Source organism: Homo sapiens, chromosome 22 (genome assembly GCF_000001405.40).
Source record: "Homo sapiens chromosome 22, GRCh38.p14 Primary Assembly".
NCBI classification, from domain to species: Eukaryota; Metazoa; Chordata; class Mammalia; order Primates; family Hominidae; genus Homo; species Homo sapiens.
This window is the reverse complement of record NC_000022.11, coordinates 24,860,608-24,874,201: the sequence shown is the minus strand read 5'-3', so window position 1 is coordinate 24,874,201 and position 13,594 is coordinate 24,860,608. Positions and strand designations below refer to the sequence as shown.

Genomic DNA, 13,594 nt, shown 5'->3' with positions numbered 1-13,594 from the left:
CCTGAGCAAACCTAAGGAAACCAGTTATTGTTCTTCACGACCCTGTGAGGGATGCATCCTCCCTCTTCTATTTTGCAGAAGAAGAAACTGAGGCTCAGAATGATGGCATGACTTAATCACCCAAAGCCCTGCCAGGCAGTAACAGACGTATCTAGTCTTTTTGACTGAAGTCCCTCTCCTCTTTCCACTAACAACTGCTGTCCCTACTGAGTACAGTACTATCATTAACCCCTTTTACAGATTAGAAAACTGAGGCATGGAGAGTTTAAGCAACATGCCCAAAACCACCCAGCTAATGAGGAGAGGAGCCAAGATCCTAACCCAGGGGATTTGACTTTTTTTTTTTTCTGAGGCAGGGTCTTGTTTTGTCATCCAGGCTGATGTACAGTGGCACAAACGTGGCTCACTGCAGCCCTGATCTCCCAGACTCAAGTGATCCTCCATCCTCAGTCTCCTGAGTAGCTGGGACTACACGCACGTGCCAGCATGGCCAGCTAATGTTTTAAAATTTTTTGTAGAGATAGGGTTTTGCCATGTTGCCCAGGCTGATCTCGAATTCCTGGGCTCAAGCCATCCTCCCGCCTCAGCCTCCCAAAGTGCTGGGATTATAGGCATGAGCCACTGTGCCTGGCCTGAGGACTTGACTCTGAGCCTACTCTTTCTCCCTCAGCTGTTTCTCATAGGCACTTGTCTCTCCACACCATCTGTTCTCAAAACAGGGCAATCCTGTTGATGTTTGGAGACACTTTGGGTTTTCACGCCTTGGGGATTAATTAGGTGCTACTGTCATCTAGTAGCTGGAGGCCAGGGATGCTGCTCAACATCGTAGAAAACACAAGGCAACCCCCACACAAGGAATTATTCAGCCCTAAATGTCAACAGTGCTGAGGCTGAGAAACCCCACGCTAGACCAGCATTACCCAATAGAAACACAATCAAGAGGCTGGGAGGTGGCTCACGCCTGCAATCCCAGGACTTTGGGAGCCTGAGGCGGATGAATTGCTTGAGCCCAGGAGTTCCAAGTCCAGCCTAGGCAACATGGCAAAACCCCATCTCTACAAAAAATCCAAAAAAAAGTAGCCAGGTATGGTGGCTTGTGCCTGTGATTCCAGCTACCCAGGAGGCTGAGGTGGAAGGATCGACTGAGCCCAGGAGGTTGAGGCTGCAGTGAGCCATGATCGCACCACTGCACTCCAGCCTGGGCAACAGAGCGAGACCCTGCCAAAAAAAAAAATTACAATTGAGCCACATATGTAATTTAAAAAAATTTCTTTTTTTTTTTTGAGATGGAGTCTCGCTCTGTTGCCCAGGCTGGAGCGCAATGGCACAATCTCGGCTCACCAAAACCTCCGCTTCCCGGGTTCAAGCAATTCTCCTGACTCAGCCTCCCGAGTAACTGGGACTACAGACATGTGCCACCACGCCCGGCTAGTTTTTTGTATTTTTAGTAGAGATGGGGTTTCACCGTGTTAGCCAGGATGGTCTCGAATCTCCTGACCTCGTGATCTGCCTGCCTCGGCCCCGCAAAGTGCTGGGATTACAGGCGTGGGCCACTGGGCCTGGCATAATTTAAAAATTTTTGTAGCCACATTAAAAGGTTAAAAGAACAGGTGAAATCAATTCCAGCAATATATTTTGTCTAACCTAGTCTATCCAAAATGTTACTATTTTAACATCTAATCAATATAAAATTATTGAGACTTTTTTTTTTAACAAAGTCTCAAAATCCAGTGTGTGTCTTACACTTCCAGCACATCCCCATCTGCCCTGGAGATGTTTCAGGAGCCCAAGAGCCACATGTAGCCCATGGCTACCCTGCTAGACAGTACAGAGACAATCTCAGAAGCAGAGGGGTCTGAAAATGCCCTTATCTGATGTGAACCTGTCCACATATTTTGGAACTTGTCCTTGCCTCCCCAGAGCACAAGGGGCAGGCAAAGAACCCAGCGGAGACAGGTCTGATGAGACACTGAGAGGCAGCTTAGAAACATCTGTGGTCATATCTCCCCTCCCACAGGGTGAAATCCTTTATATTTAAGGCATATATCTGCAAATTTCTTCTGTTAAAAGCCTGACAGTAAATACTTTCAACTTTGTGGGCCATATGACCTCTGTCACAACGATTCACCTCCGCTGCTGTGGCATGAAAACAGCCATAAATGATATATAAATGAATGGATGTGGCTGTGTTCCAATAAAACTTTATTTACAAAAACAGGTGAGTGGGCTGAAATTGGCCCATGAAAAGGGGTTTGTTGACTTCTGATTTAGGCACTCTTTCAGAAAGAACTTCTTATCTCTTACAGATGGAAACCTCTCACAAATGGAAACCGCAGGATGACTGTTTTTCTTAAGCCTGTGCGGCTCAAGCCCCAGAAAATCAACCAAGGATGCGGTTGCCATTTCCATGTGGGTTGAAGTTGACCTTGAGACTGAAGGGAGTGAAACCACAATGCCCTCTCCCTGCCAGTCAAAACGATGTGCATGGAGTGGTGGTTAGAGGCACAGGCTCTGGAGCCAGACCCCCAGCGTTCAAATCCCAGCCATGACAAGAATTAGTTGTGTGATCCTGGACTAGTTGCTTAACCCTTCTGTGCATCAGTTTCCTCCTTGCAAAATGGGGGATGGTGATGACAACCTGGGAGGGCTAATGGTGAGGATGGAATGAGTTAAGATAGGGACAGTGGGACAGCAGACAGAAGTGGGCCTGGCACACAGTGGCACTCAAGACACGATACCTACTATTGCTTACTGAGCATCTGCCAAGCGTCAGGCCCCATGTCAGGTCACCAGGTGTTTTAGGAATGATCTTGCTGATTCCTCAGAATATGCTGCTGGTGGGGACTGCTGTTACCCCATTCTACAGAGAAGGAAGTGAGGCCTGCGGAGGACAGGTCACTTAACCACACCGCAGTGGCAGAGCTGAATACAGTGATGCCTTCTTTTCTCTAAACCAACGGTTCTCAAGCAGAGGCAATTTTGCCACCCTCCAGAGGACACCTGGCAATGTCTAGAGACATATCTGGTTGTCACAACTTAGAGCAAAGTAAGTTCGCTACTTGGCATCTAGTGGGTGCTCAACATCCCACAATGCACAGGACCACCTCCTACAACAAAGAATTATTCCATCCCAAATGACAGTAACGCTAAGGTTCAGATGTCCAATTCTAGATAAACTGAATTAGTTGGGAGTTTCCTCAAGGGCAGACAAGGATCCAAGTACAAGTTCCAAAGGCACATCAGTAAGGGAGAGGCAAATTGAGACAAAGGAAGAAAAGGGGAGGGAGTAAAGGGTTAGTTGCCAAGCAAGTTACCAATAGAGGTAACTGTGCTTAATCTCCCATGGAAGCTCTGGGAGACTGTGCCGAACATGTATGTCAGAGTTTGCCTCACAAAGGGACAGTGAGCTGGGATATTGATACACTAACTCCTATCAGCCATAAGCTGAGGGCTGCTCCAGGGAGGCACTGGTTCCCCGATGCTTCCAATATGCCCCATCCCTGGCCAGAAGGGACTCTTGTGGCCAGAGAAAACCCTCAGGCAAAGAGATACTGAGGCAGGGAGCTGCAGCTGGTAGCTGAATAGCATGCACAGAATGGGAAATGCTGAGGATGTGGGTGAGCACAGCCAGTGTCCTCACTGTTCCACTGGCCTTCATCAAGCCACAGGAGGATGACATAGAGAATCTCCAAATAAATTAAACACCCAGCACTCTGCCTAGCTCCCAGCGGGAGTGTACACATTGCCTGTTGGATGAGAAGCTGTGGAGTTTCCTGGGAAGGCAACTATAGAGGATCTGGCCCTCTCTGATAACTGGCTCTCGAGTAGAACTCTTAATGAATGTTGGTCTTCACAGGGGTGGGAAGCCCAAGTTCATGGGCAACAGAACAGACGCTGGCTCAACATCCCAGGGGATTTCACCCTCATACATGGAGCCCCTTCAGCCTTGGGGCCCATAACAGCCTTGGTGTCCAGCCAGGATAGTGGGCGCCTGGTTCCATGGAGTGGCTGGGAGGCCCTGATCCAGGGCAGGAACAGACATGGTCATGAACACTTCAGGACACTGTAGCGCTTAAGGGGTTCCAGCCTTGTCCAGGAGGACATCTGCTCTCAAAAGAGCCTCTCACTGCCCAGCACGTGGCTGCTTCAGCAAAGGGAGGCTCAGAGCCATTATCCTCGGATGGGAACATGAGGGCCGCTCCATGTTAAATAAAATGAAGTGAACAGAAAGAACCTACCACTCAATACTGATTTGTTTAACAGACACCCATACAATGCTTCATAAATGCCAGGCCCTCTTCTAAGTACTTTTCAAATCTTAATTCACTGAATCCTCACCATAGCCCTGCAATGGTGATGCGCTTACTAGTAAGAACTTCCATTTGCTGCGCATCTGTGTCACGGCAGGCACCGTGCAACCTGCTTGAATTCACCCCCATCTCATGTGCCAGTGCCTGGTGCTCTGCTTCGCCTCTACCGGTGTAAAGTTTGACTACAACTTACTGAGGGCCTGCTGTGTGCAAGGCCTTACTCTATGGGCTCTACAATGAATATCTCATCATCTCATTGAATCTTTATAAAAGGGGAAGTAGAATATTAACAACAGCAGCAACATTTGAGTGTTCTGTATGTGTGAAATGCTTTATCTCATTTAAAAAGTATTTTAATTTGCATTTATTTTGAGACAGGCCTTCACTTTGTTGCCCAGGCTGTAGTGCAATGACATAATCACGGCTTACTGCAGCCTCGACCTCCCCAGGCTCAGGTGATCCTCCCACCTCAGCCTCCCAAATAGCTGGGACCACAGATGCATGCCACCACACCTGGCTAATTTTTGTATTTTTTGTAGAGACAGGGTTTCGCCATGTTGCCCAGGCTGGTCTTAAACTCCTGGGCTCAGGCAATCCAAAGTGCTCCCTCCCAAATTTCGGCCTCTCAAAGTGCCAGGATTACGGGTATGAGCCACCATGCCCGGCCGCCTTACCTCGTTTAATCCCCAGAATGACTATGAAACTGGTGCTATGAACATGCCCATTTTACAGATGAGGAAACTGAGGCACAGAGGGCTGAGATGACTTGCCCAAGTTCAGCCAGGATTCCAGAGCCTATGCCATTGCCACTACCCCAGGCCACCTCTCCTAGTGGCAACTTTATTAGACAAGTAGAGGGTGGTTATTGTTCTTATTTGGGGGGAAACTGAGGCTGCCAAGAAACCGACTTTCTGTTTCCAGATCCTCCTGTTAGCCCCAGAATCCAGACCTGTCATCTTCTAGTTTCAAACACCTGGAGTCATTTTCAGGATCAGTTAGCAGGTGACTCCCCGGGGCCCGGGACAGGGCAGCTCACCGAATTCCGACTGCATGCCAGGGTAGATGATCCTGAACACATAATCCGTGGCCTCATCATCATCTTTGTCTGAAGATGTGGACTCGGCAGAACCCTGAGGGCTTCGCTTGCGCAGTTTAGGAAACACTTTGCCCTGCAAAAACATGTCCCAAAACAAGGTCCTTGGGACACATCTGTCCCCACAACTTGCTTAGTCTGAGGGTATCAGTGGAGAGCGCATGAGGCCACATAGCCACATAAGGGCACACAGGCAAAAACAACCACCCTCTGTGACCAGCCTCCACCCCAGCCTCCCTGGGTCCCGATGATCACTCACCTTACCCCTCTGGGACCACAGTGGCGGGTCCAACTGCCCATGTGGGAGCAGCCCATTCTCCAGGCACGAGAGGAACTGCAGGAGGTGCCCGCCCTTGGGGAAGCGGAAGGGCGGCCTCTGGATCCCGTCCTGGCTGACCAATACCACTGTCCCGCCGCTGTCAACTGCCGCCACCACCAGCCAGAGAAGACCCAGTGGAAGTCACTATGAGGCACGGTGACAGCCCCTTCCTGCAAGCACATCCCCCAGGGGTGCCAAGCCAGACCCAGGGATCCTGCTCTGAGGCTCTGGGAAAGTCCTGGGCAAAGGTCAGGAGCAGTTTTTACCTCCCCTGAGTCTCTCTCATCTCATCCACCATCCACCTCTGACGGGACTACAGGACAAAGTCAAGAAGAACCGAGTTGACCTCCCTGACATTAACCACCAGAGGAAAAAGACGCCCCCTAGAACCCTACGCTCCTCAGGAATCCTTTACAAGTCTACCTGACCTATTTTTGTATGGAGGCCTTCAGACTTCCCCTGTCTCGGGGCAGTAGCTGACTCTGGCTAGCGTGTATTGAGCACTTACTGAATACAAGCGCAGCATGTTAGAGGCACTGTCTTATTGAAATACTCACAATATCCCTAAGAGTCCTATCTATTATTGCCTATTTTACAAATAGTAAAACCAAAGCTCAGAGAGGTTAAGTAACTTCTCCAAGGTCACACAGCTGATCAATGGCAGAGTCTGGGTCTGAATCCAGGTCTGTCTCATGTAAAAGGCTTAAATCACCGTGTTTTGTTCCTTGGTGAGGCACGGACCATTTGCTTTCTAAAGCAGGATGGCCCTCTGCTTACTCTGACTGTACTTTCTTCTGGCTTTAAAGAAGTACTGCAGTTATTGATCCCAATCTTCAGAGCACTGACTTTAGAGTCACAAAAAGCTGGGTCCAGTCCCGGCTCTGGAGCTTCCAGACTGTGTGCCCTTATACTAAGCTGCTTCCTCTCCTCCAAAATGGAAATGATGTCACCCTGTCAGTGGGTGGCTGTGATGACTGAATAACGGGCATGTGAGTGCTCAGAACTGTGCTTAGCACATTATCACTGCTTAGTAAGTGTCAGCAGCTAACGCCATAGCCATAGGTGGATTTCATGCTGAGCCCTTAACATACATCACTTCATCTTCACAACTACCCCATGAGAGGGTCCTGTTATAATTCCCATGTTACAGATGGGGAAACTGAGGCACAGAGCGGTGAGGTCGCTTGCCTAAGGTTGCACAGGTAACATGGGGTGTCCACCATATCATTCGCTCATGATGCTAATGAATAGGCAGGGATGGAGACAGGCAGGGGATCCAAGAGGAATACGCAGACCCCTCCTGTCCCCACAGTCCCTACCTTGCTGGTGGCAGTGCAGGTAGACAATCTCCTCCAAGCGGATGGTCATGGCATAGTCCCAGTAGACGCTGGAAGCGGACGGAGGGTCAGGCTTGCAGGACTTCTGCCTACCCCACTGTGCGGAGGGGCTCAGAGGCCAGCAGACCACAACCAGGAGCTCCTCCACCCTTCCCATTAGGTCCCCAGCATCTGTGTCCCAGCCTGCCCAGACTCTATCTCCCCTTTTTCTGGTCTCAGAACCCCAATTTTCCGAGGTTACCATCCTTCCCACCCCCAGTTCATATGGGAGGTGAGGTCGACCCCACCCACTCTCCACCCTCGGACTCCAGGAATGGCCACCTGACCCAGGCCTGGCCAATCAACCTGTCCCACTGTTCCGGCCACAGTGTTCAGTGCAGGACTGACTCCTGACTCTGGCAGAACCAATGAGACTCAATTATTAGATTTCCATTTGAATGACTGGGAAAGAGATGCCCCATCCTGTCTGGAGAGTAGTGGTAAGGGCAGAAGTCTGAAGATGGAAGCGACTATGCCTGAGAATGGTGTCAAAAGACAGGAAGACAGAGCAAAGAGATGGAAAGAGTGCAGGTCCCTGTCATTCAAGTCCCTGGATCCATCCATGCCTGAAGCTACTACCCCTGGAGTTTTCAATTCATGTGGGCCAGTGCTTAAGTCAGCTTGAATTTCGTTTTCTCTAACTGGCATCTAGGAGTCTTGACTAACTCACATCCTAACTCCAGGCCACTATGTGTCCACGCGCAGGAGTCAGGATAGCCTCTCAATAGCTTCACAGGTTCCCAGCAGTGTGACTCGAGGGTTTCTCTGAGCCTCAGTTTCCTCATCTATAAAATGGGGGCTAGAATAACACCCACCCCATTGTGTTGCTGTGAGAATTAAATAGAATCAAGTATTTGAAGGGCTCAACACAGAGCTGATACATTAAGAAGTGCGTACCTGGGAAGTGGTCCCTATGATTATTTAAGTGTTTCCATTTCCAGCTCAAAACCTTGCTGCTGTCCTGAAACAAATAGCTTTTCTCATCAGAACACACTGGGAGGTGGAGGCCACAGGAACTTGGGCTTTGTGGTGGCCATGGAAATGCACCACTCACATCTCCTTCAGAAGACCTTGCTGAGGGGAGCAGAGCGGATTAACTTCAGAGGCCACTCCCTGGATCTATCACCACATTTGCACCAAAGCCAGGCTTCCGTTAGGCTGCTCCCAGCCAGGACCTAGCAGGCCGGGGTACTAGTGCCGCCCATTCCTGCAAGACAAGGAACTCCTCTAACAGTCAATGGTCCACCGGAGACTTCCAACTGACCTGGCCAAATGTTCTTAGAGCCATGCTGTGTCTCAGACTCCTTCTGCCCAACCTTCCTTCCTTCCTTCTCTCCCTCCCCGCATGGCAGTCTGAAGGCTCTCCCTGTCTGCTCCTGCCCCTCCCTTAACCTGCACAGGTGTGTCCCCAATAAATCTCTGCTGGTTCAATCCTGTCTTGGTGTCTGCTTCTTGGAGGACTCAAACTAACATAGGCTTCAAGGTCAGGCAGCGTTCAAATCCCACTTCCACCAGAGACCTTAGCCAGTTCCTACCTCAGTTTCTGGCCCTCAGTTTCCCTAGCTGTGAAATGAGAAAAGTGGGATAGGCTCAGAGAAACCCTCAAGTCACACTGCTGGGGACCTTTTCTCTTTGAAAGCCCTTCCTGCCCTGGCCTGTACCAGAATCAGCCTCACCAGACTTCACGGAAGTAAATGTCCTTCGAGGACAGTCAAGAACACAAGGGCAGCAGCCTCTGTTGAGCCCCTCCCATACCCAGTCTAGCCAGGGTGTCTTCTCTGGGCTCCCACAGCCCTGTGTGCCCATCACGCTGGGTTGCAACCACCTGTCCTCTCCTCTGGTTCCTCAAAGGTGCTGAACACCTGCAGAATGGTTCTGCTTTGTTCACTTCTCTGTGATGCTCAGACAATGTTCACAGTGCATAGTGAATGCTGAGCACTGGAATGCCCGGTGAACAAAGCTACCACCAGCCATCAGCAAGGAGGAGCTCTGTGGCCACAGTCTCTTTGGATCCATGAAAATGACACCAACAGCCCTCATGACTGAGAGCCCTGTCCAGGTGCCAGGCTCCCAGCTAAGGGTTTTCCATGCACTTCCGTTACATAAATTCTCCCTATATGCTTATTCAGTGGTTCCCTGACTACATTCCCATCTTACAGATAAATAATCTGAGGCTCAAGGAAGTGTAGTTGATTGTCTCAGGCCACAGAGCTAGGAAGGAGCAAGGGCTGTTTCTCATTTTCATTTGCGTGTTTTAGCAGCTTTACTGAGGTATAATTTACACACCATAGAATTTACTCTCTGTAAGTGTACAGTTTGATGAGTAAATGTACAGATTTGGGCAACCATCATCACAAGCCAGTGTTAGAACATTTTTACCACCCCCAAAAGATTCCTCTTGCCTGTTTGCGATCAGTCTTCCTTCCCACCCACAGCCCTAGGCAACCAACAATAATCTGCTTTCTGACTCCACAGATGTGCCTTTTTCTGGACATTTCATCTAAATGGAATCCTACAACATGCACCCTTCGTGGCTGGCTTCTTTTGTGTGGTATAAGGCTTTTGAGGTTCATCCATGTTGTAATATCCACTGGTGATTTATCTCTTTTTATAGACAAGTAATATTCTGTTGCATGGATGGACCACAAATGTCTACATCCGTTCTTCAGTTGATGGGCATCTGGGTTGCTTCCGGTCTTGGAGTCTTGGGCTATTATGAATAATGCTGTTATAAGCATTTGTGTATAAGTTTTTGTGTGGGCTAAGTTTTCACTTCTCTTGGGTAGATCCCTATGAGCAGAATTGCTGGGTCACAAGGTAAGGGGATGTTACAAGAAACTGCCAAGTTGGTCTGTAAATTGGTTGTCCACCAGCAGGGTAGGAGGGTTCCACTGCTGCTCCACACAGTAGGGCTGAGATCGGAGGCAAGTCCAGCCTGACTTCAGAACCCCAATATCTAGCTTTTTCGTGACATTTTCTCTTTAACATTGGAATACCCAGCTAGTGAGTGAGGATCGTGGCTGTGCAAGAGTGAGGCTGGCTGTGAAAAGAAAAAAGAGCTCTGGCCAGGCACAGTGGCTCATGCCTGTAATCCCAACACTTTGAGAGGCTGAGGTGGATGGATCCCCTGAGGTCAGGAGTTTGAGACCAGCTTGACCAACATGGAAAAACCCCGTCTCTACTAAAAATACAAAATTAGTCAGGCGTGGTGGCACATGCCTGTAATCCCAGCTACTCGGGAGGCTGAGGCAGGAAAATCGCTTGAACCTGGGAGGCGGAGGTTGCAGTGAGCCGAGATCATGCCATTTCACTCCAGCCTGGACCACAAGAGCGAAACTCCATCTCAAAAAAAAAAAAAAGAAAAGAAGAAAAAAAGAGCTCCTGCACAAGCTCAGACAAAAACCACCCCATTTCATTGCTTCTTGGTCCCCCAAGGGATGCTGGAGCTCCTGGGGCAAACCCCTTCCCGACACACCAACCCCCACATTTCTGACTCCTGCCATTTATCTTCCATTGAGCCTCAGGTTCTGGTGAGAATAACAACGATAGACAGGAGTTCATGGCCCAGGGCTAGAGATGCCCCAGCTCCTGGGCAGTGACCTTAGAAGTTCTGATTCAACCGAACTCAGTATCAAAGCGCCTACGATGGCCGGGCGCGGTGGCTCACGCCTGTAATCCCAGCACTTTGGGAGGCGGAGGCGGGTGGATCACGAGGTCAAGAGATCGAGACCATCCTGGCCAACATGGTGAAACCCCGTCTCTACTAAAAATAGAAAAGAATTAGCCAGGCATAGTGGTGGGCGCCTGTAGTCCCAGCTACCCGGGAGGCTGAGGTAGGAGAATCACTTGAACCCAGGAGGCGGAGGTTGCAGTGAGCCGAGATTGTGCCACTGTACTCTAGTTTGGCGACAGAGCAAGACTCCATCTCAAGAAAACAAACAAACAAACAAAAACAGTGCCTATGAGGTGCCTGTTCACCAACAGCGAAAGATGATGCAGAAACACGGGTCCCCGATTATCTGCGCTGGGGCGGGGCTTGGCAATCCTCGGATCCAATGCTTTTCCCAAAACATTAGCATCAGGTTTCTGGCCCACACAACCCTGGGCTCAAGTCCAAGCAACAAACAGGGTCCTCGCGCTGTGAAAGCTTTGACGTTGGGTGCAAGACGCTTCAGTGTTTGAGAAGCCCCTGCAGACCCCTGGGAATGCCTTGAGTTCTAAGGAGACCATATCTCGTCCTACTCCCCCACTTGATAAAAAGGGAACCCTGAGGCTCATTGAGGTGGAGTGACATACCCCAGGTCACCCAGCAAGGTGACAGTGGAGCAAAGGCTTGGTTCCATAGCGTATGTCCATCCATCTCCTTGCTCATTCATTGTCTTCCAGTAGAATGTAAGCTCTGAGAAGGTAAAGATTTTCCCCTCCTTTCCTTGCATCTGTCTCCCTTGCATCTAGCACAGTGGCTGGCACAGAGTAGGGGCTCAGTAAACATCCAGTGAATGAATCCAGGTCCTGACTTCCCTGCTTCATTTCACAAAGATGATCTGAGCACCTACTATGTACTACAACCTGTGGCAGGTGCTGGGGATAAGAAGCGAACAAGACGGGACCCTTGCCTTTAAGGCACTGAGCTCTCGAGGGCAAGATGGTAGGTACACAGGCACAGATGGACTGTGTGACTACAATCTTCTAAATGCTACAATGGAGATTCAGGGCTTGTGTGATCTGGACTCAGCAGGGAGGTCAAAGAAGGCTTTAGACCAAGGTTTAAGATAAAGAGACCCAGAGCACCCCTGGGACCCCTCCCCTATTCTTCCATGATGGTCGCCTGATTAGAAACTCTAGACTCTGGGTGGCCGGGTGCGGTGGCTCACGCCTGTAATCCCAGCACTTTGGGAGGCCGAGACGGGTGGATCAGCTGAAGTTGGGAGTTCGAGACCAGCCTGACCAACACGGAGAAACCCTGTCTCTACTAAAAATACAAAAACTAGCATGGTGGTGCATGCCTGTAATCCCAGCTACTCAGGAGACTGAGGCAAGAGAATTGCTTGAACCTGGGAGGCGGAGGTTGTGGTGAGCCGAGATTGTGCCATTGCACTCCAGCCTGGGCAACAAGAGCAAAACTCTGTCTCAAAAAAAAAAAAAAAGAAAGAAAGAAAGAAACTCTAGACTCTGGGAAGCCGAGGTGGGAGACTCACTTGAAGCCAGAAGTTCAAGACCAGCCTGGGTGACAAAACGAGAAACCATCTCCATATAAAATAAAATAGAAATTAAAAAAAAATAAAAATAACCTTGAGAGGCGGCCGAGATGGGCAGATCATTTGAGGTCAGGAGTCGAGACCAGCCTGGCCAACACGATGAAACCCCGTATCTAACGAAAATACAAAAATTAGCTGGGTGTGGTGGCAAGTCCCTGTAATCCCAGCTACTCAGGAGGCTGAGGTGGGAGGATCGCTTGAACCCAGGAAGCAGAGGTTGCAGTGAGCCGAGTTCGCGCCACTGCATTCCAGCCTGGGTGACAGAGCGAGGCAGTGTCTCAAAAAAATGAATAAATAAATAAAATAAAATATAAATAAATAAAATTAAAATGTTTAAAAAGAGAGAGAGAGAGACTACAGGGTCTAGTTGGAGCTGAATTATTGTGCCCAGCACAGGACCAATTGTCCTGCCCACTGACCAGCTCTGAGGACAGATGGTGACTCCTGCACAGGAAGTAATCAGCTTAGAGAACACTTTTTTTTTTTTTTTTTTTGAGACAGAGTCTCGCCCTGTCATCCAGGCTGGAGTGCAGTGGCGCGATCTCGGCTCACTGCAACCTCTGCTTCCCAGGTTCAGGCAATTCTCTGCCTCAGCCTCCTGAGTAGCTGGGATTACAGGTGCCCGCCACCATGCCCAGCTAAGTTTTGTATTTTTAGTAGAGACAGGGTTTCACCATGTTGGCCAGGCTGGTCTTGAACTCCTGACCTCATGATCTACCTGCCTCAGCCTCCCAAAATGCTGGGATTACAGGCATGAGCCACCGCGCCCAGCCTAGAGAACACTTTTCATCACTCCAAGGCCTGATGTTTCTTGAAAAGAGTCTTTATTTTTTTAGAGATACACATTAAAATATTTACAGATGAAATCATATCATGTCTGCATGTTGCTTCAAAATTATATATATATATATATATATATATATTTTTTTTTTTTTTTTTTTTTTTTTTAAGACAGTCTCGCTCTGTCACCCAGGCTGGAGTGCAGCAGTATGATCTCAGCTCACTGCAACCTCTGCCTCCTGGGTACAAGCAATTCTCCTGCCTCACCCTCCCGAGTAGCTGGGACTACAGGTGTGTGCCACCATGCCTGGCAATTTTTGTATTTTTAGTAGAGATGGGGTTTCACCATGTTGGCCAGGCTGGTCTTGAACTCCTGACCTCATGATCCACCCGCCTCAGCCTCCCAAAGCACTGGGATTACAGGTGTGAGCCACCACACCCGGCCCAGAATAATATTA

At 49.3% G+C, this 13,594-nt stretch overlaps 1 protein-coding gene across 4 annotated transcripts in view; it reads right to left on the bottom strand.

Moving 5' to 3' along the window:
- SGSM1 (small G protein signaling modulator 1) overlaps positions 1-13,594 on the bottom strand; it is a 121,368-nt gene that overhangs the window by 53,377 nt on the left and 54,397 nt on the right. For all 4 annotated transcript variants that reach the window (NM_001039948.4, NM_133454.4, NM_001098497.3 and 1 more), the window contains exons 10-12: positions 7,042-7,109; positions 5,663-5,826; positions 5,347-5,479 (exon numbers count right to left, since the gene is read on the bottom strand). In NM_001039948.4, coding sequence (NP_001035037.1) covers positions 5,347-5,479; positions 5,663-5,826; positions 7,042-7,109 — 365 coding nt within the window. The remainder of the gene's footprint in view (positions 1-5,346; positions 5,480-5,662; positions 5,827-7,041; positions 7,110-13,594) is intronic.